Source organism: Homo sapiens, chromosome 16 (genome assembly GCF_000001405.40).
Source record: "Homo sapiens chromosome 16, GRCh38.p14 Primary Assembly".
NCBI classification, from domain to species: Eukaryota; Metazoa; Chordata; class Mammalia; order Primates; family Hominidae; genus Homo; species Homo sapiens.
In genome coordinates, this window is record NC_000016.10 from 49,322,654 (window position 1) to 49,350,568 (window position 27,915).

At 46.0% G+C, this 27,915-nt stretch overlaps 1 long non-coding RNA gene across 1 annotated transcript, besides 2 other annotated features; it reads left to right on the plus strand.

Annotated features, from left to right (window-relative positions):
• The first annotated feature begins 1,495 nt into the window (after positions 1 to 1,495).
• LOC124903689 (uncharacterized) lies at positions 1,496 to 27,904 on the plus strand. The gene is made up of 2 exons (XR_007065068.1): positions 1,496 to 8,003; positions 14,008 to 27,904. It is a non-coding gene; the product is annotated as an uncharacterized LOC124903689 (long non-coding RNA).
• Positions 23,185 to 23,479: a silencer, noted in NCBI's record as "tiled region #1482; HepG2 Repressive non-DNase unmatched - State 10:DNaseD, and K562 Repressive non-DNase unmatched - State 23:Low". NCBI's record gives its function as "represses a minimal TATA promoter and a strong SV40 promoter by Sharpr-MPRA in HepG2 and K562 cells {active_cell/tissue: HepG2 | K562}" and the evidence as "EXISTENCE:reporter gene assay evidence [ECO:0000049][PMID:27701403]".
• Positions 23,252 to 23,452: a silencer, noted in NCBI's record as "peak2583 fragment used in MPRA reporter construct". NCBI's record gives its function as "represses an SCP1 promoter by STARR-seq MPRAs in K562 erythroleukemia cells {active_cell/tissue: K562}" and the evidence as "EXISTENCE:reporter gene assay evidence [ECO:0000049][PMID:32103011]".
• Positions 27,905 to 27,915: the final 11 nt, after the last annotated feature.

The following is a 27,915-nucleotide window of genomic DNA, read 5'->3' on the forward strand; positions in this document are numbered from 1 at the left end:
AGTTATTGTGGAATAACAGAAAAATACATCTTTCCAATCCATCTAGTCTCTTTTGTGTGTGTTTGTATGAAATACCAATTTACTCTTTTAAAGAATTCTTAAGGTTCCATGTATAATTTTAAAGACAAATGGATATATTTTAAGATCAAATTTCCTCAAATTTTTTCCTGTTCTAAAGAGTGTAGAATTGTATTATATATTCACTTAATCTTTCAAAGGTTCAGAAGCTAAGAAATTAGAGCAAGATCATCAAAATATGTCACTTTTTAATTCCTCTGCTTGTAAAGGCAACATAGCTTAGTGATTGCAAGTACTGTAGAGCCCGGTGGCCTGTGTACAGCTCCACCTTTTTTTTTTTTTAAATGCAGAGTCTCGCTCTGTCACCCAGGCTGGAGTGCAGAGGTGTAATCTCGACTCACTGCAAGCTCCCCCTCCCGGGTTCAAGCGATTCTCCTGCCTCAGCCTCCTGTGTAGCTGGGATTCAGGCATCTGCCACCACACCTGGCTAATTTTTGTATTTTTAGTACAGACGGGGTTTCACCATATTGGCCAGACTGGTCTCAAACTCCTGACCTTGTGATCCACCCACCTCGGCATCCCAAAGTGCTGGGATTACAGGCGTGAGCTACCGCACACGGCCACAGCTCCACCTTTTACTAGCTGTGTGGCCTTGGGCAAGTCACTGAATCTCTCCAAGCCTGTTTTCTCACGTGTAAAAGGGTTTAATAATAGTACATTCTAGGGTTGTTAAGAAGATTAAATCGGTTAATGTTTACAAAGTATTTTAAATGGTGCCTGATATACACAGTAAGTGTAATATAAGCATTAGTTTAAGCAAAATAAAATAGTGAAATTAAAGTAAAAATAAAACTTTATTTTATAAATATTTCTGCATTTTATTCTTCTGACTTTCCCAAGAAGTAAAAATTACCCTCTTTTATGAAGTTATGTCATACTTTAATAGCTTGCATTTTTGGAAATCAGTTGAATATTGAGGGGACAAAGAACCCTTCTAATTTTCCTTCAACATCTTCTATATAACAGTGATGCCTATCTCCCTATTTATCTCACAGTGTTGTATTTAGCAAGGTTTTGCGCTTGGTACCTCTGTTTTTCTTTTAGTCTAAACCTTCGGTTGTCCATGATTCAACTTTAAATTATATCTCTGAACGGCCCCCTCCTCACCACGAAGTTGATTCTAGAGATTTTCCCATCATAATATTTAAGATCTCCTTTTTTTTTTTTTTTTTTTTTTTTTTTTTTTTTGAGACAGAGTCTTGCTCTGTCACCCAGGCTGGGCTGCAGCGGTGCGATCTCGGCTCACTGCAACCTCCACCTCCCAGGTTCAAATGATTCTCCTGCCTCAACCTCCCAAGTAGATGGGATTACAGGCACCCACCACCATGCCCAGCTAATTTTTGTATTTTTTTAGTAGAGACGTGATTTGTCCATGTTGGCCAGGCTGGTCACGAACTCCTGAGCGCAGGTGATCCACCTGCCTCGGCCTCCCAAAGTGCTGGGATTACAGGCACGAGCCACCATGCCCAGCCCAAGATCTCCTCTTCTCTCTGTTATGTTGCTATTACCCGGGACACTTTAATACCATAAATATGTTTTCTAACCTTACTGAGTTATTTGCTAATTTAACATCCTTATTTTATTTAGTGTTCCAATTATGAGCATCTGTGGCTTGCAGAATTGTGTCAACTTGCTAGAGACAGACTTTTGATTTAGCATTCGTTTCCATTTTTATGCTTATCTGTCTTTTTTATTTGTGTTTGCAGAATTTTCAATTTCTCATCAATCTCTCTGGGTCATTATTATTGTCTTAGCATCTCATTGTCCAGATTTTCAAGAAGTTAAGAAAGCTTAGTCAGATGGTTGACTATATTTTGTAAATATATGACTCAGCTAATGGCTCTTTGAAATTTACATGGACTTTTTTTACTTAGTAGTCTTAGTCTGTGTAATGCCATCTTTGAGGGACTTCCATGCACAATCTCATATCATCTCCGTATATTTGTTTCTAGCTGGGTATTTGAGGCTAGATAGACTCACAAGATGTTTACAGAAACAAAGATGAGTCAAAAATCCAAATCTCCTAATTAGTGTAATTTTCAATATAGCCCAGTCCTGTCCAGCATCAGGAGACTTGACAGCCCCCAAACCAAAAGGGCATCTGAAATACATATTGCTCATCCCTCCGCCTGCCTCCCCCATGCCGAGACAGGAGCTGTGGTGAGCGTGTGGATGGCACAGGCTCTGCGGGTGTCTGACTAGAGAGCCTCAGTTACGCGCTCTCCACCTCATCACACAGCAGCCCCGTGTAATAGAAATCGCTTATTATGAGGGTTGGCTAAATAAAGGCACATTGTGACCAGTCACAATTTCTAAATGAATCCTCCTGACTGATCTGGTCCTGACACTTTCAAAGCTGCCGTTATTACTGAACCTGAACATGTGGAAAGGACAAGTCAAGACAGAATGATAAAATTCTTGAATGCTTTTGCTTAAAATTATTCATTCTCTTGTGTGTGTGTAAATGGGGACACACACACACACATACACACACTCCATAGACACTCTCGCATACTTAAACGGTTCCCTAGGTGCACTTTTATCATTTTATCTCATCTCACTTTGGTAGTTTCCATTGTAGTCCTTCTGTAGACTAATTCTCTAAATATTTAGAAAAATAAGAGGGTCTTTTATCTGTGTGTAGTCGTGGATTTTGCTGCCTCTTAAAGCATTATCTTTTCTAAGTCCTTAAGTGTTAGAAGTGGGAAAACCATCTTTCTTTTAAATTTAGCAAATGGCACTTATGTGCATATGTACTGATGCCATATACACACTTACACTGTAATAGAAACATCGTGGAAAAGCAAACCATAGGCTTTTATCATAGGCATGAGCTTTTTCCCTCTCATCTCCGCCTGGAAAGATGGTTAGGAGAATGAGAGGCCTCTCTGGATCTGTATTTATAAGCCTTACTGGAAAAAAAAAGTCAATTATTTTTTAGACTCAGCTCACACCATAATAAATGTGAATCTAAACAATCGCTCAAGTGCTTTCTAAGCAATGGTTCTATCTATGATCACTCAGACTTCCTTCTTTTATTTAGTAAAAAGGTAACAAATAAGAATGGAGTGCCATTTGCATGTTTCTTATTTTTACTCAATATGGAGTCCAGTGGTTGAGTAGGCTCATCCAGTAGCAAAGAGAAGCAAACAAAATTGATTTCCTGTAGCCCACAGTGATTTTCCCTAGATTTAGAGAGCATGTGATTCCAAGATGGGTGTGGGGTAAAACTCTCAAGGCTTTCCTGGCGAGAGACCCGGGCATGCTGGTGGAGAAACCAGACATCATGCTTGGGAGGTTGGGGCCTCTCTCCTCCTTGAATGAGCTCTGTTTTAGGATGTTGTTCATGTGAAAGTATTGCACTTACCTCAGCATAAAATGTCAAGCCATCACATCCTTGGGATAGAAACAATTAAGGAAGGATTTATGTTTGTAAAAACATGTGCCTATTAAGGTAAGTAATTAGGGCACATGAAAGAAAGATAATATGGAGATGTAAAAATTGGGGGTTCTGCAGTCAGACCCCCTGGATTTAAATCCTAGCTCCACTTGCTGAGTGACCTTGGGCTAGTCATTGAACCTCTCTGAGCCTCAGCTTCTTTCCCTGTGAAATGGGGAAACTAATGGGTTTATTGTGAGTATTAAATGAGTTAATACATGCAAAACAATTCACACATAGTAAGCATGAAATAAATACTAATTATTATCATTGTTACGCACTAAGAAAGGATTTTTGCAACTAAAGTGTCAAAAGAAATGGAGATGCTAAAGAATTATTTGGCTTTAAAAGATGAATTCCAGTACAAAATGAGGCTGTTTAACAACCAGATTCCATATTACAATCAGAAAGTTCCAGCAGAGTACCTCAGGCTTCATCTGGGGAACATGTTTAAAGGTACCAATAATTTTTGGGTTTTTTTTTCCAATTTTAATAAATGAAATTCTCATTCCTTTCTGTCTGTCTCTCTGTTAGCGCTATTGCTTTATCTTACTCTGTAGTCTGTATTTCTCTTCCTAGTTTCTTTTTTTTTTAGAACTAGTTGTGAATTCTTTATTCTCTCACATAGACATATGACAGTGGGGAAGGAGGGCATGTGTGTTTCCTAAATGTTAGCAAGAAGTCTGTCTTGCCATCTCCATAGAGTGGAAAATTCAGCAAGTAGAGTCTGTTAATGTCATTCCCCTTCAAATCACATTCAAAAGTGTGCTTAATGCACTGTGTACATTAATCAGACATTTTGATCATGAGTAATGGTGATGCCTTCAGAAGTTTGGGGTGGGGGTGTGGGTTTTGTATATCTTGGAAGGAATCCTAAGTCCTTGGGTGACTTCGAAGCAGTCTGTATGGGCGCTCCTCCCACATCCATTGCATCTTTGTCAGACACATGGCCCCTAGGCTCCACTTTGTCCATAGGCATGGAAAGGTGAAAGTGCCTGGGAATTAATATCTCTGGGGACACTCTGAAGCAATGACTGCTGGTTATATGGGTATAAATACTCCAGCTCCCTCACCCCTTGGCTAAAGTAATTCCAAGGCACGTACTTTGCAGTTTTCCAGAGTTACCCTGTGAGATTCAACTGCCATCACCCACTGTGGTAGCTGACTTAATAATGCATCCTATATTGTGTGGCCGCCTTCCCTTCCCTGTCTAACTTCTCCCTCACTACCCAGACTCTCTGTATCTCCCAATACACCACTCACTTGTTCGGGGTCACTTCTGGAGTTTCCAACCCCAGATGATGTGCACACTTTCAGAGGTAGAAGTGAATCTACTAAGCCTAGACTAGGTATCATCAAAACCACTCTGGGCTGCAAACTGGCAGGGTGCAGGCCGCAAATTTGGCAGAGCTCTGCTTTCCCTGGGTTTGGAATTCCACTGACTCAGAGCCTGAATAATCGTGGAGGCAGACCTGTCAAGGTGTTATCTGAAGAGCTGTTGGGGAAGTGGACCAAGACCACAGCTGCCCATTCTCTCACCCCACCTTCTTTCTGCAGAGTGGCCCATTTGTGATTCAGGAGAAAGAGTGCAGGAGCAGTGGTCAGCATGCTGTGATCGATGATTTCTGAGCGTGGGTGGGCCTTGACAAATGCTCCTATCCACTTCATTCCCTCTTAATAGACCCATCAGACAGGTGCTTGTTGTTTTCCAGTGCCAACCTGGGTAAACCAGTCATCATGTGCCCCAGTGTGTCAAAGAAAATGCCTGCTTCCCAGAAGGTTTCCCACTAATGGGGAAAAGAAGGTTGATTCACACAGCCTTTTATTGCAAACCAATTCATTCTTTGGCAATCTGAAACCAAAACTGCACATTTAGCCAGGCAGGTCTTTTAAAAGCATGTCCTTTACCGTACTGTCCATTGCAGACTCCCATCCATATCTTCTTTCTTGTTTTGTGTTATCATTTTTGTGATGCTTTAATACTCAATACATGAACTGAAGCTATGTGGCTTCTGTATCGCAGTGTATTAGGATTCCAGAAAGACATGCAATCCCTGAGCAGACAATAAATTTGATTTTGCACAAGTGGCATCCTTTATACTTTGCTCATAAGGCGATCTCTCAAGTGTATTTTTTTTTCTGAAACACAACACAAATAGTCTGATGAAGTAAAAATGGGTTGCATGATGGGTTTTGTGCTCAGCAAAAAGAACTTGGACAAAGCAGCCATGCTGATGTTCTTATTTACAAAGGTTGCCGTCTGGGAAATTAATCTCTGCTGTTGCTCAGTAATTAGGAAAATTTAGGACCCCTAGTGCTCCAGCATCTTGCATTAAAGGTTGTATGTCATTGGTGTTTTCATGAGAGTTTGCTGGATTTCTGTCATTAATAACAGGCATAAGCCCAGCAAGCAGTAGAATATGCATTGCATTTAATCAATTTGCTATTTGTATTCATTATGCATGTCATCCGTTTTGAGTCATGAAAAATTGAAAGGCCATTACGAATAGAAAGAGCATCATGGATTACAAATGATGTAACAAGAGCATAAGCGCTATTAATTGGTCAATTGTGCTTGTCGGTACATTTAAAGTGATTAAGGCAGAAAGATTAGAAAGGACACGAATGTGCTTGGGAAACAGAAGCATAGCAACACAAGGGCTCTCCCAAGTCCTTTGTGCCCAAATAAATGCAGCAAAATCCAATGGCATTTATTCCAACTAATTCATTAAACAGATATTAGTTGAGCACTTACCATGTGCTGAGTACAAGGATTGTACTGAGTACAGCAGAAAACAAAATAAGTGAAGCCCTTGACCTCAGGGATTTACCTTCCAGAGGGGAGGGGGAAGTATGAAATGAACAAATAGATATACAATATAATATATTGTAGTAGCAGAGACCATGAAGACCACCAGAAGCAGAGAGGAAGCCCTCTTTGGGGAAATGACATTTGAACAGAGGTTTAAATGAAGAAAATAAAAAGACAGGGGGTCCGAGCACAGTGGCTCATGCCTGTAATCCCAGCACTTTGGGAGGCTGAGGTGGGAAAATCACTTGAGCCCAGGAGTTTGAGACCTGGGCAACATGGTGAAACTATCTCTACAAAAATACAAAAATTAGCCAGGCGTGGCAGTGCACACCTGTAGTCCCAGCTACTCAGGAGACTGAGGTGGGAGGATCGCTTGAGTCCAGGAAGTCGAGGCTGCAGTGAGTCCAGATCACGCCACTGCACTCCAGCCTAGGTGATAGAGCGAAACCCTGTCTAATAAAAGAAAAATAAAATTAAAAGGCTACATGGATATCTGGGGGAAGAATAGACTCAATATCCCCCACTCCCATTCCAACACTCAAGAAGAAAAGAAAATTCTTGCAATTATTTTTTTACTCAAGTGATTTTGTGAGGCTTGACCCAATAATGGAATGGCTTTGCCAAGGCTAGAGAACTCACTCAGCCGGTTTTCCCATTACAGACCTCTTGGGTGATAGCAATTCTGTTAAAGTGGAAACTGATGGCATCATTTGCCATTTTTACTGTCCCCATACATAGTCCTTACCATGGCATGCAGACCCCTACGCTATCCAGCTCCTGCCTCCCATTTCATACCACTCCTCCTTCTCCTGCCAAGTTCTAGCCCCTGGACTTTCTGTTGCTCACATTTCCAGTTCGTTCCTGCCTCTGCACCCATGCATTTGCTGTCTCCTGCCCTCAGAAATCCAGACCTGAGCTCCCAGGCCACATCCTCAGAGACACCCTCCATGACCACCAGGGTTGCACCTGCTCCCTGGCCCCTGTGATTTGATCCCACTACACTCATTACTGCCTGAGTTCTGTGCTATCTGCTTACTCGTTTCTTACCTACCTCCCATGTTTGATATAAGTTCCATGAGACTAGGCCCAGGTCACTTGAGTTCACTGCGGTATCCCATCACCTGGAACAGTGCCCGGTACAAAGAGGCTCAGTACGCCCAAATCAAATGAATGAATGAGTGGATCAATCAATCAGCCAACCAGCCAAAAATAAAATGAAAAATTGACAGTTGGGTTTCTGCTTTTGTATTCGGTAACTATTTTAAAATTTTGTATTTAGGTAGCTATTTTTTTAAACCACATGAAAGAAAGGGATGTTTGTTCTGCACAGCATTCTCTGGAGTGATTAGGTAGCATTGGTATTTGTGCTTCATGTGTCTACAATCTATTGCCATGCATTTCTAATAACATAATATTCCTTTTCAATATACTGACTTGTTTTTCTTTTTCTTTTCTTTTTTGTTTTTACTGGCTAAATGCTATAGCATTGTCTTTGAATATTAGCAAATAATGGAACATGGGCCAAGGGTGAACCATGACGAATTTGTGTTCCAGCAGCCCTGCTTCTTTAGAATTGACAGTCTGGCTTCGTGGTTAATTCACAGCATCTGAGGAATACATCCAAAGAGGGTGATACTGTGGCATGATGGTACCAGGATTCCAAGTTCATTCCAGGTACAGTCGATGCATCATTCACAGCAGACTCGTGAGTGTCCATCCTGTGCCAGACTCCATCGCAGGTGCTGGGGATACCAGGCAGAGGATGCAGTGTTGCCAGCTATCAGGAAGACCTGACGGTCAACAATCGTGCTTCCAAAGCCACCTGCATATTATACTCCCTTGGGGGTCAGCTGTAATATACCTGTGCCTAGGCCCCATCCTAGGCCAATGGAATCAGAATCTCTGGGCCTAGGGCTGGCACACCCATCTTTTTTAAGCCTCAAGTGCTGTTCATGGGCAGTCAGGGCTGAGACCCCCTGCTGGAGTAGAAGGATGGTGCATAGGTAGCAAAACCACAAAGCAATGGGCAAAGGCCAAGTCGCAGATGGCAGTTGCGTAAGCTGGAAGTGGTGACATTTCTCTTCAGTGCATAACCACAGCTCAGAATGAATATTTGTATGGATCAGGAGGCCAAGTGACCTGGTATTGAGCAGTAGATAAACGTTGCATCTATTTATCACCACCCCCAAAAAACCTTTTTAAAATGGCAAATACCATTCATTAAATGTTTATTTTTCCTGCATGAGGTCAAACAAATAATCTCAATTTTCTGGGTGTTGGGGATTCAAACAACACCCAAAATGGGATGTTGTATACTAAGTCAAATAAAGAATTTTAATAGAGACATAATGTCTTTCCTAACCAGCAGGTATGAGAGAAGGGAAAATAAGAGAATCTGCCTGGTAACCATCAGGGGGAATGAATTAACATGTTCTCTAAGACTATGTTAGAAGGTCAGAGCCCAGCACAGTGGTACATGCTGTAATCCTAGCACTTTGGGAGGCTGAGGCAGGAGGATCACTTGAGCCCAGGAGATCAAGGCTGCAGTGAGACATGATCACGCCACTGTACTCCAGCCTGAGCAACAGAGCGAGACCCTTTCTGAAAAATAAATAAAAAATAAATAAATAAAAGGTCAGAATTTCATGAAGTGGGATGGTAAAGTTGTTGTGAAATTCTCTCCCTCAGATACCCTCTGCCTTTGATGGTGGGCATTAAAATGCTTAGACTGGAAAAAAAAAAAGCAAATCTTTCTGGGTAATTAAGTAAAGTTTATGTTATTCATTTGAAGATCAAGCTTTGCTTCTCCCCTTGAACACAGGTGAAAATAACAGGAAAATGATAATAACTTTATAAGGGCCAAATTACCACTCACAGTGGTACTTCTGAGTGTGTGTTGGAAAATTACATCTTTTGTCAAGTGATAAACTCTGATTTTTTTTAAAAAAAAAGCAATGTTCGTGATCTAGTAAGCACTTTACAAAAGCTAACATGCTTTATGAAGGTGTGTACACAGACTGCCTAACCTCACACTGCAGCCTCACTTACTCTAACACACTCTATGGCCCTCCATGGAGGAGCAGAAGCTTCCACCCACGGGATGACTTCAGATGAACGCTTTTGATGCTGGGAGCAGCAGCCACCCATGTCTCCAGATACCTGTTCCTCTGACTCTGCCTCCTTGGATTTTACAGTTACCAACAGTTCATGATGATCTTCAGAAATGTTCACAGTTTCAGAGGAGCCACATATTTGAATGTTTAAAGAAAGCAATATTTTGCAAAACGCAAGGATGATCCAAGAGAGCCACAGGAGGATCTAGCAGCCCTTTGTCGGGAAATGAAAGTAACCAACAAGATCAGGCCTGGAAAGACCTTCCTGGATCCCCCAGGACATGCTCCCTTCTGTGAAGCAGCGGTTCTCAGCCCTTGCTGCTCATTGAAGTCAACTGGGGTGCTAGAATAATACTGATGCCTGATGTGCCCAGGCTGGAGTACAGTGGTGTGGTCATGGCTCACTGCAGCCTTGATCTCCTGGGCTCAAGTGATCCTTCTGCTTCAGCCTCCAAAGCGCTAGGATTACAAGCATGCACCACTGTGGTGGGCTCTGACCTTTTAACATAGTTTTAGATAATATGTTAATTCCTTGCCTCTGATGGTTACCAGGCAGATTCTCTTATTTTCCTTTCTCTCATACCTGCCAGGATCTCATACCTGTGCCAGAGATTCCTGAGGAAGGAGGGGCAGTGTATTTTGGAAAAGCTCCCAGGTGAATCTGAAGTGCAGCCTGGGTTGGGAACCACTGATGTAGTCCCAGATTAGTGACTGAAATGGGTAATAAGGGAAGCAGTGTTGGCAGCACATTCTACCAAGCTCAAAGTCTTGACATGTCCTGGAGCCAGCAGAGGGCAAAGACTTCATTGCTAAGAGAGAAGCTTTAGTGGGAGAAGATAAATAAGTCTGTTTCCAGGCAAATGTCCCCTTTCTGCTGTCAGCTTCCTGGCTATTTCTGCCCTGCCTGAGCCTGAGGATTTAGACATCACTTTCACGTAAATGCCATAAATGCCAGCTTCCAGGTCTCTCCACACATTAATGACATTGTGGTGAGAAAAGCCACTTGCAAATGAAGTAAATCCTTGAAAGAGTCAGACAATAGTGGGCTTTGTAAGCTCTGCCTTACAGGAGAGCCTGCAGGGGGATTTTCGGTGATCTATGCAGGGATCAAGCTGCCATGGCCAAGGCTCTCAGGACAAAGGCCTCATGGAGTCTTTTGTTTGCCACCGCATGTGACTTTACTCCTGCATCTCCTGCAGAGCTCTCCCAGGACAGTTGAGTAAGAGTGGAGAAGCAATTGGGGTGAACCCCAAGACTCAGCCTGATCCGTTGAGGGGCTTTGCAGCATAAATTACACCTCAGAGCCTGGGGCAAAGGAGCTGTGAGGCATTTTTCTCTACATGGGTTAGTCATTGGCTACCTGGGCTCTCGGTAAGAGTGATGTGGCTCCAGAGCCCAAGAAAAGCGGCCCCTGCGGTCCTGGGGTGGGGAGCTCTTAGCAGCACAGCACTCAGAAGCTGCGAGATGGGTGCGCAGAGCTGTGCTAGGGATCCTGGAGTCTGGGCAAACAGCACTGCATGTGCTCCACAGGTGAAGCCTTGCCTCCTCCATCCGTCAGCTCAGCACCCTGTATGGAAATGCAAACTGTGACGTGTGCTTCTGCGTTTCCCACCTCTGATATGATAGATGGCACCGCAATGCTTTTCTCTTCCTCAGGGCCCATTTCCAGGCTGGACTGCAGTGGTGTGATCTCCCCTCACTGCAGCCTCCACCTAAAGTAATCCTCCCAGGCTAAAGCGATCCTCCCACTTCCCACCTCAGCCTCCCAAGTAGCTAGGACTACAGGTGCATGCCACCACACTGGCTAATTTTTATATTTTTTGTAGACAGTTTTGACATGTTGCGCAGGCTGGTCTTGAACTCCTGGACTCAAGCGATCCGATCTGCCCGCCTTGGCCTCCCAAAGTGCTGGTATTACAGGCATGTGCCACCATGTCTGGCTCCCATTTCCTTGTCTTCATTGTTGTTGGTTTTTTTCTTGTTACTATCACAGTAGAAAATCTAGCATGTTGGGGAAAGGGTGTGACTAAGGGAAAAGAGACCGGGAGGTCACTTCGACTATGACCTGTGCATCAGTTAAGATGTTAGTGGCAGCAAGAGACAAGATGCCCAACCACAAGGGAACCCCAACACTGGAGACTTTTTCTCATGTGTTGGGAAGTCTGGCAGCAGGTGGTCCAGACTGTGTTGCTCAACAATGTCAGGGCTCTTGGTGGCTGCTCTGCCATCCTCTTGGTGGCAGGGTGGCTGCCGCAGCTCCTGGCATCATATCCTCACACAATAATATCCAAAATCAGGGAAGGAGGGACAGCTTCTTGTCACTCATTGTTCTCTAGTTAGAAAGGAAAAGACTTCCCAGCTCCAGCCACAGACTTTACTTTGCAGGAGAAAGTTCGGCCAGGTTTGCATCTGGAGGCTGGGAAAATGATTATCTGGCATTTGAGCTTCTGTCTGCCATGCCCTGCAAAAGAAGAGGTGCTGGTTTTTCTCCAGTCATCCCTTTGGGTCCATTCTCTGTCCCACTCTATCCTCTTCCTGGCTCCGTGCCCTTGGAGGCCAATCCTGGATTTCATCACTAGGCTCTGCCCTTGGACTTATCATTTACTTCAGCCTAAGGAAGGCACCAGGAGGAGATAGGAAAGCCAGGGAGAGAGGCTGGGTGTTTCCTCCCTACCAAATGCCACCTTTACCCAAGGCCATGAAGATACTGCCCTTTGTCACCTTCTGAGGCATTGTTTTCCCTCCCTATTTACACCTGCTGTCCACCTGGAAATGATTTCCCCTCTGATTTTTATTATGAAAGTTTTCAAGTCTACCGAAACATTAAAAATAGCTTAATGAACACTAATATCCTTCCACTAAATTCACCAATAGTTAATGTTTTGCCACATTTTTTCAAAATATAGATGTAAATAGGTAGACAGATCGTACATTGAGCTGTACAATTTTGTTTTATTCCGAACCATGTGAATGTTTTAAACATTTTGACATTTCCCTCCTAAATATTTCAGTGTGCTTCTCCTAAGGATAAAGACATTATCCTAACAATGCAAAATAACATCAATTCAATAATATCACCCAATTACACTTTTTTGCTTAAAATATACTTTCTTAATAATCTCCAATATTTGATATTTCTTTGCAGCTGACAAAGCACTTTCTCTATCATTATTTCCTTTTATTTCCACAGTAGCCTCTGAAGCAACTGTGATCAGCTCCCTTTTCTAGATGAGGAAAAGAATCAGAGAGGCTAAGTGACCAGCCAAGGTCACACAGCTAATGTATAGCAGTCTGGGATTCAAAGGCAGGCCTTCCAAATCCAAATGCCACACACTTTCTGTGGCATTATAGCCCCTTCTCACAAGTGTGTTAGTTTTCCTAGAACTTAGACCCCTAAGCAATTCTTATATTTGCTCCCCACCAACCTTCCCATCCACCAAAATTGAGGATCCCCTTTCCAGCTTCAAATAACAATACTCTAGTGATGCTGGTGATTCACCTGGGCCTCTGTTTGATGTGGGAAAATGCTAGGCAATGCGTTTGGACATTGCATTTTATTTAAGCTAGTGTGATTGATTACATAGTATTTCTTAACTGCATTATGCCTGATTCTCCTCTCATTCTCTGGGCTCAGAGTGAAAGAAAGCGTCCCTCTGCAAACCCTTGGGTTTATCCTCCTTGATGGGGAGGACCTGGTTTATACTTTTCAGTAAGCAGGTGAGAACGAGTGTCCTTGAAGCCAACAAGGGCAGGATCTCTGACTCTCCTTCGCTTACCAGATCTGCCTCCCAGCATCTCTCGAATCAGCCCATGCCTCTCCTTCACCGTTGCCGCTGCACCAGTTCAAGCCACCTTGACTCTTGCTGGGAAAACACAGCAGCCCCTCACCTGGTCCCACGTGGCTGAGCATCTCCTCCAATTGACAGCTGAATCTCATCAGGCTGCCATTCCACCCAGATCCCTTCTGTGGGGCCCACTACATGTAGTAAATTACAGTGCCAGGTGTGATGTGTGCACCTGTGTAGTCCCAGCACCTCGGGAGGCAGAGGTGAGAGGATCACTGGAACCCAGGAGTTCAAGGCTGCAGTGAGCTAGGATCGTGCCACTGCACTTCAGCCTGCGTAACAGAGCAAGACCTTATCTAAAACATAAAATAAAATAATAAAATAAATTAAATTAAATATAAGAAAATAAAACACACAGTAGAAGGTGTGCTGTGGCCTCCGCAGCCTCCTTGGTCTGGCCTCAGCTGGCCTCACTGCCTCCTCTCATACCATGCCCCCCTCCTTACCCCAAGCTTAGGCCTCATTTTCCTCAAAGAAGCCTGGGTCCTGTCTCAGAGCCTCGGGGCATGCTTTCTTCCCTGCCCCTCGTTTCCACCCCAGTCACCTCCTGATCCCTGTGCATCCTTCAGATCTCAGCTTGAGCACCAACCCTGAAGCCTGCAGCTGGATCCCATAAGTATTTCCACAACACCCTGTACTTTTCCTACATGCACCCCAGCATCTTCATACAATAGGTGCTTAATAAATTGTCCAATGACTGAATCCTCACAATATCTCTAGAGAAGATGGCAAGATGCAGAGAGGAGGAGTCACGCCTGAAGCCACACAGCTGACATCAGAGCCAAAGCATGAGCCTCAGTCTCTCTGACCCAGAGCTACCACCCTTGCTGCCTTGGGAAGAAGGAAGCCCCCTCCTATTCTATCCTTGAGCTGCCTTGGCAAGGAGGGGCCCCTTGCTGCCGCCATCCTCACAGGACACCATCCACATGAGGGGATGGTGAGCTCCACTTCCACCTTTTCTACATGTCTGCTCTTTAAACTGCACACGTTGATTCATTCATTCATTCATTCATTCATTCCCTTGATATTACCATTCATTTATTCATCAAGTATTTATTGAGCATATTTATCTGCATGGCATTGTGCTAATCGTAATCATCATATTCACCACTGCTGAGCAGAACAGTCAGGGTGCTGCCCTCAGGGAGTTACCATGTAGTAAAGGAGACAGATGGAATCACACAGAGGAATGCACGTCTGATTGTAGCCTGACTGGAGTGCCATGAAGGAGACCAAGAGGGCAGGGTGATGGAGAAAGCACAGGATGAAGTTCTCGTCTTCCTTCCAACAGAATCTCAGTTGCACTCAGTTGTTGCCCCCCTCGAACCTCCCTTGAGCCTCAGGAGAAACCACCCTGATTCAGAGGTCCAGAGAAGACCTGACTAGCCCAAGGTAATTCCGTCCCCTTGCCAGAGTGGCTTGGGCAGGGACACGGGACCTATTTCAATGAGGCCAATGAGACAAAGGTATTTCTGCTGGGGAGGCAGGGGCTTCAAGCAAAGGGTCTTGCTTGAAAGAGCCACCGGAAGAGGGCTCTCTCCTTCCTTAGGGTGTCACCGTGTCTGGATGCGATGCCTGGAAGTGCTACAGCCACTCGCGCCCAGCCTGAAGATGAAACCAACCCCAAACACAGCCAAGCAGAGAGATGGAAAGAACTAGGACCCTAATTACACCACTGAGCAGCTATAGCAACCAGTTCCAGAGCCCTCTGACTTCCCGCCAAAGTGAGATGATAAGATACTGTTTAATTTCTCTCTTTTATAGCCAAACACACCAAAATTGACACAGAGATGTGAGCCATACCTACTACTGTTACTGCTCCATCCCTAGCTCCAACCACAGTGCATGGTACATGGTAGAGAGCCAACAAACACTTGAAGAATGAATGGTGCATATTGAGTGGGATTTTCCAGAGGCAGACCTGGAGACAAGGCTTCAAGTGCGTGTGTTGTATTAAGGAAATGCTCCCAGGGGACAATAGCAGAGTGGCAGAAATGGGACAAGGGGGCCAGGGAGCCAAGAACAGAGAATCAATCGTCTAAACAGAGCCCCCTGTTTTTTGTTTCACCTGGGAGTAGCTTCTACCTGATCCCCAGGGGAACTCTGGGATGTCAGTGACGGCTCAGCATTGCCCCTGAGGCAAGGGAGCTGGGCTTTCCTAATCCCCCACTCCTCAGTCTCTGGCTAAGCGCTGTCCCCAGGGGACTTAATCACCCAAACACTTCCCCAAGAGTGGCATCTGCTGACCACTGGAGGCACTGGTACAGTGAAGCGACAGAAGGGATCAGAGAGGGTCCAGGTGGAGCACAGCAATGTGGCTGAATAATAACTATATTAATTCATATAGTTAATTCTCAAGCAATGGCAAAGTGTAGGCAGCTTCTTGTCTGCAAACGTTTCCATGATATCTCTCCTGCAGCCAGACGGGTCTTTTCCTGCCGCCTACACAGAATGGCCATGGAGCATCCCCAACTCTTATTAAAATGGAAAAAAAAAAAGCCTTTGCATTTCAATCTATTATTGCACTTTATGACTCATCTTCAGGTTCTCTCTGCAAAACATTGAAAGCCAGATCATAATTTGATGATGAAATATTGATTATGCATTTGTATGCAGAGGTCTATACTATATAGATAGAATTCCCACCCTGTAGTATCTTCTATTTTAAGTCAGTATGAAGATGGATGTTCCCCCCAGGCAAATTTTGATAAGATACTTGTGTCAATACAAAAAGAGATTAATGCCAATGTGAATCAATACCCGCTTATTGGTTTGGGTTGCTTCTTCTCCACGCAGCAGCTGGCACCAAGAGGGGTTTCCAAACACCAGCGGCTCCCAGCCAATCTGCATATTTCTTTATTTAAATCATGAGAGTGGGAAGTGGCAAGGGAATGGTGGGTTGGCAGGGGGCTGCCCACGCCCACTCCCAAATTGAGAAGGGAATGAAAATAAAACAAACGCAACTTGTCAACAAATCTGGGAGAAGCTTTATTACCATCATTAGCAGTGTGCTTGTCCTCTGCTGCTTCCAAAAAGAATAAACTTCAAATGACAGAAGAAGAGCGGTCTCCATCCTTGCTGGGTTCTCAGCGTACAGCAGGGACTGGGCTTATCTTGACTGTGCATCTGCTGTGTTTCCTGCCCAGCCCCCACTGCCACCTGCAATGCCCTATATTTAGTGCTTCTTTAAAATCTCATTTATCATCTCCCATCCCCACCAAAAAGTAAGGTCCAAAACCACGGAGGATTTTTTTTTTTTGCGGGGGCGGGGGTGGTATTTTTTGTTCACTGCTGAATTTCCAATGTCTGGATGTTGAATTAATTTCTTTCTGCTTCATTCATTCATCTAACAAATTGAGCGACTACTATGTGACAGGGCCCTCCAGGTTCTTGGGATATATCAGTGAACACAACAGACATTCTAGTGGGTGATAGGGCAATAGAGATAATTAATAAGTGCCGTATGGAAAACATTAGAAGGCAATAATTGCGGCTGGGTGCGGTGGCTCATGCCTGTAATCCCAGCACTTTGGGAGGCTGAGGTGGCCGGATCACCTGAGGTTAGGAGTTCGAGACCAGCCTGACAACACGGTGAAACACCGTCTCTACTAAAAATACAAAAAATTAGCCAGGCGTAGCCCAGCTACTCGGGAGGCTGAAGCAGGAGAATCACTCGCACCATTGCACTCCAACTTGGGCAATAAGAGCGAGACTCCGTCTCAAAGAAAAAAATGCCAGTAATTGCTATGAGGGAGTGGAAAGCGATCATGGTAAGAAGGATTGGGTGGGCTGAGGAGAGGAGTTCTAATTTTAAATAGGGGGGTCAGGATCAGCCTCACTGAGAAGGTAAGTGTGAGCAAAGCTGTGCAGGAGGTCAGGGAATGAGGTATGTAGCTATGCAGGGGTGGGCGCTAGGAATTTCCAGACACATAGACTGGCTAGTGCAAACATCCTAAGGTAGGAGTGTGCCTGCTTTATTTGAGGACCAGAAATAAAAGGAATGGCTGGAGGCCGGGTGCGGCGGCTCACGCCTGTAACCCCAGCCCTTTGGGAGGTCGAGGTGGACAGATCATCTGAGGTCAGGAGTTCAAGACCAACCTGGCCAACATGGCAAAACCCCGTATCTACCAAAAATACAAAAATTAGCTGGGCGTGCTGGTACATGCCTGTAGTCCCAGCTACTTGGGAGGCTGAGGCAGGAGAATCGCTTGAACCCAGGAGGTGGAGGTCGCAGTGAGCCAAGATCACACCACTGCACTCCAGCCTGGGTGACAGAGTGAGACTCCATCTCGGGGGAAAAAAAAAAAAAAAAGGAATGACTGGAATGGAATGAGTGGATGATGATTGGACAATTAAATTAAACAAGTGAGTCTGAGGCTTCCAGGGGCCATCTTGCCCCCCAACCTGCCTCTCCCCATAAGAAGAATAAACTAAGTACAGACAGATCCAGTCTCTTGCTCTGATCCAGCTATGCCTCAAGCAACTTCTACCCAACATTTTTTCAGTGCTTAAGGTAATATAATCCCTTTTTAAAACCACTTGTAACTGAAATAATCCTGATAAAACACTGAGACTCGAGTGCCTAGGACACCTGAGCTTCTGTGCCCACTGTGGGATCTTAACAATGTCTGCTGGCTGGTCCTGGGCAGCGGGACGCTCAGCCTCGGAGGGTGAGGCCTGGAATCCATCTGTTCGGGGAGGCCTGGACAGCTGACAAGTGAGAAGGAACCTTTCAAATTTGCAATTTTCAAGTGTCAGAAGGATATTATGCCGCTCCTCTGACACCTGGCATCTTAGGCAGATGTGCCCCGTTTTCTATCAACACGTCTGCTGTGTAAGGTGTGGCCTTTGCACTCACAGGATCCGGAACCCACACCTGAGAATGAGAACTCCAGGTGTTAGCTTCTCCAACAAGTCACATTGGAAGGACCAGGCAGACCCCTTTCCTTCAATTACCAAAGTTGGTGACACAACAGTTTCAAAGGATTCTATTCAATTCAACAAGCGCTTTAAGCAGTGGCTCAAGATGCTAGAGGGTTGGAGAAACACATGATTTGGTCTGTCCCCTTAAAAAGAAGATAAGCCAGTGGGCAAGTGACTTAATTCATTTCATTCACTATGTGTTCCATGCTAGAGGCAAGATACTAGGGGCTAGGATGGAGACTCCCCAAACAGGCGAAAGAGATTTGCATGTGAGTACTTTGTGTGTGACCACTTGTTATTCATTGAGCAAACATGAAGAACTTCCTAAATGCCCTGCACTCTTTGAGACTCTAAGGACACAGCAGCCAGCAAGATGGGCAAGATCCCAGTCCATGTAGAGCTTATGTCCTGCTGGAGGATAAAGGTAATAGGCCAGGTAAGGTGGCTCACGCCTATAATCCTAGCACTTTGGGAGGCCAAGGCAGGAGGATCTCTTGAGCTCAGAAGTTCGAGGCGAGCCTGGGCCTCCTGAGCCCAGGAGTTCGAGGCCAGCCTGGGCAACATAGCAAGACCTGTCTCTACACACACATACAAAAAAATTAGAAATAAATTAGCCAGGCGTGGTGATGTGCACCTATAGTCCCAGCTATTCTGGAGGCTGAGGTGGGAGGACAACTTGAACCCAGAAACTGGAGGATGCAGTGAGCTATGATCATGCCACTGCACTTAGCCTGGGAGAAAGAATGAGACCCTATCTCTAAAGGAAAAAAAAAGATAATAAAGTGAAACTCATTTTTGAAGGAGTGATTTCTGAAATTGTTTAGTGCAGTGAGGAAAAGACAGTGGGATATTACAATGGAGAGACGCTGGGCATTGTGCAGCAAGACGGAGAAGTCAGGGAGGGCTGAGCTGGATGGAAGTGGTGGGAAGGAGCCAGCCTGCAGAGAAGCAGAGCGTGTGCTCTGGCAGAGGGAGTGGCAGGGCAAAGGCCCTGGGCAGGAGCAGGGTCAGGGTCACAGCTGTGTGGCTGGAGTTCAGTGGGCCAGGGGGAGAGTGATGGAAGGCAAGGTCAAGGTGGGCTGGGGCCAAACCCTGCAGTGCTTTGTCAGCCATGGCAAGGATTTGGGGTTTTATTCTAAGTGCATCTCAGAGTGCCGGCATCTTTATCTTGGGGTGATGTTGGCATATTCCCACCAGGATAAATTAACATTCTCACCTTAACAGATCATTGGGTAGAGACTAGAAATGTACCGAGCAGTGCGCAAAGAAGATGAGGAGGGTTCTACAGTTTCTCCAGATACATACCATGACAATTTGTTTTTTTAAAAAAGAAGAAAGCCTGCAGGTAAGTACAGCCGAAAGTAAAGAGGGCCACAGTAGAGGAGGGAACAATGCCACACAACATGAACAGCAAGGAGGGAGCATTCCATTCTGAGCAGAGGGACGCGAGGAGGTGGGGCCTGAAAGGACACAGGAGGCACTGACCCCCCGAGGCAAGGGAGATGTGCCTTCTCTGGGAGACAGCGGCTTGGGATGGTGGTGGGGCAGGTTCCCCGGGGAAGACCTGGACCAGGGGCTGGGGGTGGGAGTTGGAGAGGAGAGTGCAGTCTTGGGAGCAGATTTAAAGTTAAGTGGCCTCCATGGACCCCACATGGCCCAGTCAGTTTGGACCCTCCTGGGAGATCCTGAGTTCTGAGCCTAGGCGGTCTTGTCCTGCCTCTGCTGAGCACCCGGGCCATGGCAGCCATCAGGATGCAGGAAGGTGGGGTCCCCTCCCAGCAGCTGGGAAAGCATGAAGGAAGTTCATTTCTCTGCAGCAGCTATAGTGATCGTGAGGAGAAGTAACTGAAAAGGTCAGACACACACTTCACTTACACAGCTCATAAGTCAGTAAAGAAGCAAAGCCTGAGACTTCCTCAGGAGGTGAGTAAATCCTCTGCCTTGCCAAGGCCTGCAAAGCTAGGCTTGGGGCCGGCCAGCCTAGGGGAGTGGCTTCTCCTGCTCTAGCTCCCAGTGCCCTCTGGCTTGGCTTTCTGAAGAGAGGGCTAGAGGAGCTGTGCCTCTAGAGTTCAAAAGAAAAGTACCTTAGGGAGGGAGTATAGGGTTGCAGTCAAAAGAATGGGCTCTGGACTCATAAAAACATCAGTTCAAATTCAGACTCATACCACTTATTTGCTGTGTGATTTTGGGCCACTCACACAACCTCTCTGAGCTGTCGTTTCCCCTCCATACTGTAGGGCTGATAATAGTACCCAAACCATAAGTCATTGAGAGGATTCAATGAAGATCATACAAGTAAAAGAGTTAGATCAATGCCTAGGTTCCCACTGCATATTGGCTGTGGTTGTTATCTTTATCATTTAAATCATTTATTATTATTAACACTTTAATTGTACAGCCTCCAAAATGACCCCTGTGATCCCTTCCCCCTGGTATTCATGCCTGCTATTTAACCAGAATAGGGTTGATCTGTGTACTAATAGGAGATTGTGGGGACAGCAGAATGTGACTTCCAAGGCTAGGTCCTGAAAGATGCTGTGACTTTCGCCTGAGTCTCTTGGATCACTCGCTCTGGGGGAGGACTGCTGTCATGTCATGAGGACACTCAGGCATCCCCATGGAAAAGTCTGCATGGTGAGCACCCGAGACCTCCTACCCACAGCCAGCATTAACTTACCTGCTCTGTGAGTGAGGCAGCTTGGAGGAAGATCCCCCCACCCCAGATAACCCCTAAATGACAGCAGCTCCCACCAACATCTTCTCTCCAAGCTCATGAGGGAGTGTGAGTCAGAACCACCTAGCTAAGCTCGTGAATTCCTGACCTGCAAAAACCGTGCGAGATCACAAATGTTCATTTTTTTTATTGAAGCCATTAAGTTTTGGGGTGATTTGTAATGCATAAATAATTAATACAATTATTATACTGAAAATTTCTCACTAGGAAGTGGCCACTCATTAGGCAGCCCCAGCCTTCAGGCTCTGTCCAGCCCAGTAAAAGTCAGTCATTTTTGTGCCAAAGATCCCTGAAAGAGACAGCATCATGTTTGGGTATCACCTCCTCCAGAGAGCCTTCTTGGCCAAGTCAAGAGCTTTTCTCCATGTGCCCACAGAAAGGCTCTTTGTAATCCTCTACCACACTGCATTGTCATTCTGGGACCAATCATGTTTTCATCTAGGCTTTGGCTACTAGGAGGCTCAGACCCAAATTTTCAGGCCACTGCGAAGACTCTCAATTTATTCTTGCCCTAGTTTACTCATCTATTTGCTTTGTCCTGTTTTGTGTGTCCCTTGTGTAAATTATCACACATCCTTTGTGAAATGAGGCGGCATGAAGCAAGTCCTTGCTGAAGGTCCAGGGCATGGCAAGAGAACCTGAGTTTAAGAAGCAGACATCACCTGCTGGCAGCAGGCAGTATCCTCTCAGTCAGCCTTGATGTCCCCTTCCCTGGATCCTCACTTCTCATGGCAATCTCCCCGTCTCCTCAGGTGGGGATGGGATGAACAGGTTTGATTAGCCCTTCACTGTAAATGCCTGTCCTCTGTCACTGCACCAGGACTGATATGGTTTAGTTGTCCATGGCTATCATCCAAACTTGAAGGTGGCACTTGTAAGGAAAAAACAAACCAACAAGCTATCCTAAAAGGAGGCTGGCAGCATGAGGAAGGGGCTTGCCATCCCCTGTGCCAGTGCGGGAAGACCAGCCCAAGTGCCCACCCCACTGCGGGAGCAGACTCAGCTGTCCCCAAACCTGAATGCAGGTAACAAGGGCAGCAGCCTGAGCATCTCAGAGCCCAGAGGCAGAGCGTTAGCCGATTGCTTCCAGCATCATCTGGGGCACAGTGGGGTCTTGGTTCCTCAATGGGCCTGAGTGGATCTAACTCTGCGAAGTTAGATCCCAACAGCCATCACAGTTTGCAGACAATGTCATTAAGACCATCCAGATAACTTCCTAACTCCAGTTTTGTGCCCACCAAGCATCCTTCTGATTTCAAATTGGCCTCGCATGCCATGTGCAACTGGGAGAGAGTGTGTGGACAGAAATGGGGCCAATTGACTATTTCCCTTGGCTGTCATATTTTTCATTAATAAACTAACTCTCCAGCCACAAATACACACTCAGAATGCCTCTTGCTACTCCAGATCCTCCATTCACTGTGAAGGCAATCATGGGGATTATGAATTCCATCTCCCAGGTGTGGATTAAACTGCATGCCAGGGGAGGTTTCTGTGGTTCCAATCTACCCCGCTTAGTACATCAGAGCTCAACAGGATCAGGTCAAAGCTGGAAGGATCCTGAGAGCCCACAGAAATAATGACTCCTGTGCTGAGGTTCACAGGAGTAGCACTGGGGTCTGTGAATTCTTGGCAAAAATTCAGAAAACCTAAGGGAATCCATGCATTAGCTGATAATGAGGCCATACAGACTAACTAAAGCATCAGCCACCTCATTAAACTGGGAAGCTTAATACTGTTTTTATTGCACAATCATTTCTAAATGTCTTTTATTAATAAAATTGGGGAAATGAATTTGTTATTCTTTAATAAGTGCAGTGTGTTTAGCTGACAAAATTTTTACAAAGATGGGGATCAATGGGTTGCAAGAATACTAAAAGATGTTCTTGTTCTGCAGGGTTGGAAGCCCCTAAGCCACCATGCACTACCCATCATTTTACAAAAGAAGGAGAAACTGAGGAACAAAGAAACACATATTTTCCCTCAAGCTTCAGATTCCCTTTAAACTCTTAGGATATCCCATAACCCCCTGTAGCTTATGGCAGCTAGATTCATGACAGACAATCTCTCTAGAGTCAATTTGGTTTTTCTCTTAACTCACTCAAGCCTCTGGGAATGAAAGGTCTAGCCCTTGAAGGCTACTTTTGGTAGAAGACGAGGTTCAGTATTAAAAAGGAGGACAGAGGATGGAAAAGAACACAACTACATCAATAGTTTCTCCACATTATTTGATGTTCAGAACAGTCCCATGAAGAAGATATAATATTCCCTTTCTACAGACCAAAAAATTAATATTTGGAGAGGTAGAAAGACCACCCAAGGGAACACATATTTAGACGGAAAGCCCAGTTCTGTCTAGTGTTTAAGTCCTGGCCCATTCAGCTACTCTGCTCTGTAACTATCACCCATTTCAGCACCGCGGACAGAGGCAGAGCCCTCAGTCTTCCCTGTAGGTGGGATGGAGGCAGAGGGTGGTAAGATGGGTGCTAAGTCCCAGGGAAGATATGTATCCACCAAAGTGCCTGAATGATGAGAGGGAAGTCAGAGCTAAGGAAGGACACATCATGGACATCTCTTTACATGTGTATCAAATTGCGTTCTGTTTAGAACCATTTTCTAGCCTCCCACCAAGGACGTAAACAGGACAAGCACTGTCATCTGTAAAGTGCCACTCCCAGACTGCCACCCAGAGTTCATAAAAGGCTCAGATGAATCAATAGGTGGGAAAGTTATCTGGAATTTATAAAAATTCACTGTTAAGGAGACGACTATCACAGACAAACCCCAAAATCAGCGGTTTAACACAATAGACATTTTTTCTGACTTGTGTAAAGCCCCAGACAGGGATTGCTGCCTGTCAAAAGGCCTGACTGGCACTTGTCTTGAGGCACACTCTGGTGCCCAGGCCCCTTGCTCCTTGTTGCTCTGCCACCTCTGAAGTGGCTTCTAAGGTCACTGTATTTATCTGTGTCAAGACAGAGGAAAAAATCATGAATAAATAAACCCAGGGAGATTTGTATGAGCCAAGCCTGAAATTGGCACACATCACTTTGGCTCATACGTGGAGGACTGGGAGTGCAGAAAGATGAGGAAATGGGTCTTACTGAACACAGAACCACAGAACTCTGTCTCCCTCCTCTCCAAAGCTGAGAAATTGCCACAATCAGAAAGTGTGATTCCCATCTGAGAGTTTAAGAGCAGGAATAGATTAAAGACAAATCATGTAAAATACCTTGACTCCTAGACTTGCCGAAGCATTCAGCCTGAGCCATCTTTACATGTGGATAATCTTGGATTTCCCAACTGGGCTTCTTGCACACTCCATGGTAGAACGTCAGAGGAAATTTTTTTCAAGCAAGAGCTGTTAGATCATGAGATTCCCCAGAAAGATACAGATACAGGTATATGTCATATTACTGGAGATTCTAATTCAGCTACCTTCACAGGCCTGGGAATGTGTTTTTGACACAGGGGCATTAGGATTGTTTCAGCTGCAAGTGACAGAAGTCTAGCTCACACGGTCTTAAGCAAGAAAGGAAATGTATTGATTCCTATAAGTGCACCAGGATCTAGATACACTGTCAGGCACAGCTGGATGCAGACTCCAACAGTCTCATTGGGATACCCACCCTCTCCTCCCATCTCTGACCATCCCAGGTGGCTCCCTTCATGGGTCAAAGTGGCCACCAGAAGCTCCAGATACATCTTTTTATCAACAGCCCCAGGAGAACTTCTCTTTCTCAGTAAAATCCCACAAGGTATTTTTTGGCACTAATTGTCTTGGCTTGGTCCCATTCTTATCCCTGAACCAACCACTGTGACCAAAAACGTGGTATTCTCTGATTATCCAAGCCTGATTCACGAGCCCACCCATGAGTCTGATATGAGGTCCAGTCCATACAATCTACACAAGCTAGGTCTGGGGCATGGTGGTGCCCCAAGGACAGCTGGGGTGCCTTTCCTAGAAGAAAGGGGGCAGGGAATGGGTGCTGGACCAGCATCAGCAGCAGAATTCTTAGGCACTAGACTGTGGGGGGCTCAGAGAGGCATGGGAGCCCTGAGGTCCCCACAAGGTGTGGGATAGTCTTTCAGACCTTCAGGGGGGGTCTCTGCTCACTAACCTGCTCAAAGCACCCTGGCCCACACCGTGGGCAGCTGGAAGGTGCCAGTCCACTGAACATGTGTGATTGGCATGAATCTCCTGCTTTCCTTTGTCAGAAGGCTAGGAGTGGATTTGACCCGTTTACTCAGACCCTCTCAGTGGCCCTGCTCCCACAGGCTCACCCCAGCAGGGCCCAGTGCTTGGCTGCCAATGACGCCAAGGATATTAGCTGACAGTGACTTAAAACAGGGGTTCATGACCTCAGGGTAACCGAGGAACCCCTGAATCTGAATTCATCAGTCTGTGTATATGAATGTGAGTGCCTCTCCTTTCCCCACAGGAAAAAATCTACAACTTTCATCAAATTACTCAGGGAGACTTTATTCTAAAGAGACTGAAAACGACCAACATCAATTTTGACTCCTATGGGCATCTGTAAATAGCTTCAAGGTTTTAAGGTGAAATGTCATGTACCAAAATACACATTCTGGAGAAGCAGGAAGCTACAGACCAACTTGAGATGAAAGTCTCATATCAATGTTTTCCCAAGTGTGCTCCTTGGAATACAGGTTGACATGATATGATGCCCAGCAAGGGAAACAAAACATATTCATGTTCAAATTAGTTGGGGAAATGCTGGACTAAATAAGGTTTGATGGGATTCTTTTTTCTGCAGGACTTCTCAGAAGGGGCTAGAGTAGGCAAAGTTTCCCAGATTTACCTAATAAAAGCATTGTTTCTGTGGGAGTTTCATTTGTTATTACATGTTTCCTGAATGCAGATTCATAGACTATCCTTTGGGGAACCCTCGTCCTCACGGGATGTATGTTCATGGTGGTGTCTTCGAGTTTGTGCCCTTGTGAAGCATTCTGGCAGCAAGCATCTGAACACTTCCAAAAGGGGGCGATATTTAGGAGAAATCGCTCAGCCTGAGTTAGAACAAATGCAGCTGCTGGTGTCTCTTGGTGCCTGGGAGCCCTAGAGTGTCAGAGGGAGGAGCGTGCACACTGGAACCAGCAGCCTGGTGCTGCGTCTCAGCTCTGTCGCTAACTGGCTATGCACCTCTGGGCATGGCACTTAACCCTTCTGAGCCCCAGCCCGCCATCTGTAAAAAGGGCTTGATGTGAGGATTGAATGAGATCATGCAGGGAACACAATGTCTGGCACTTGGAAGCGTCCACCATAAAGAGCCAAGGCAGTAGATGGCCCAGCTGGGTTTGGTCCAGGCAGAGTTTACCCTCTGCCCTGGAGGCTCCAGGAAATGCTGCCACGTGGCTCCTATTGCCTTAACCACATCCGACCTGTTCCTGACAGCTCCCCACATCTCCAGCTCCTTTGCTGGTGCTCCAGGCACCTCCAAACGTGGCGAGCCCCTCTCCCCTGCCCTCTTGTGGCAGCTGACCTGGCAGGAGTGGGACCAAGACATCCAAGGCAGCTCCTTTCCACCTGCATGGGCACTTTCCTCAGGACATCCTTGCCCCTGGCACCACCTTGGGCCAGCAAGCCACATGGAAATGGATGCAGAGGCACCACTGTTTGCTGACAATTATACACTGTCCTTAAGGTCACCCTTGGCGATCTGTCACCAGGAGCAGACAAACCCACACCTCAACCATCCCATCAGAGCTTGTTTCTATCTGCATCTGTCATCGCTGATCGCATTTGAATGGGTTTAGTCTCTATTTTAAATAAAAGATTTATGCCTTAGCTGTCAGAGCCTGCCTTTATTTGAAAATTTAATCTTGTTTCTAGGAGTCTAGATTAACTTATTAGATTTAGGCGTCCCTCGTGGGTCTCTGAGAGAGGAGGAGTAGATTCTCCTCCCTGCATTCGGCCCTGCACACCCGACAGTGAGAGCCAAGAGCTGGATGGGCTTCTCCATCCAGCACGCCCAGGCTGGACAGAGGCCCCCAACTCAGGCAACTTTGTCGGGTAACCGTGTGTCCAGGGAGTGCTTTCTTGCACGCTCCGTCTCCGGGCCAGCTTCCAGGACCTGTGCTCACTGCAAGGGACACCCATCAAGCCGGCCCTTTCTCAGAGGTTTTGGGGAGGCTTCAGGAAGGACCCCCAGTGGGGGCCCAGCTTGTCAACATGGGCTGTGCCAAGGAGTTCTGAGTTTCCTTCAGGTCTGTATTGTATCTTCCACCCCCTCAGAGCTCCCTCCCTACTGCTTAGACCACACGAAGCTGTGGGGCTGTGGGCAGCCAGTTCACTTCCCTGACCTTGTCTGCAGGTGGAGACAGTGGCAGTGCCCCTCCCGGGCTGCTGCGTCACTCAGTGTAAAAGCAGGGAGGCACTGGAGAGCTGCTGTCTGCAAGTTTGTTGCTACTTCAAAAGGTGCAGGTGGGCCCTCACCTCCTTTAGAGGTGAGGATGAGCTACCCAAAGTGAAAAGGAGCTTCTCAGCGTCGCAATGGAGTCACGGCCAGGCTGCCCACACCAGCCGTCCGGACCTGCACCAGTGCCACGGGGTCTGCCCCATCTTCTCTTCCCTCTCCTTCCCCTCTCCCTCTCTCTCCCTGTCTCTTTCTCCTCTCTCCATGCTATTGACTGAATGTTTGAATTCCCTGCAAATGCATTCCTAACCCCCAATGTGACTGTGTTTGGAGACAGGGTCTTTAGGAGGTAACTGAGGTTAAATGAGGTTGTAAAGATGGGGCCCTGAACCGATGGGACTGGGGTCCTTATGAGAAGAGGAAAAGGGGTCCCTCCCCATGGAGGGACGACCACAGCGAGGCAGCAGCCGCCCACACGCCAGAGAAGGGGACTCAGACGGAAGCCTTGCTTCACCGGCACCTTGATCTTGACTCCTAGCCTCCAGAATTGTGATAAATAAATTTCTGTTGCTTAAGCCCCCAAGTCTATGGTAT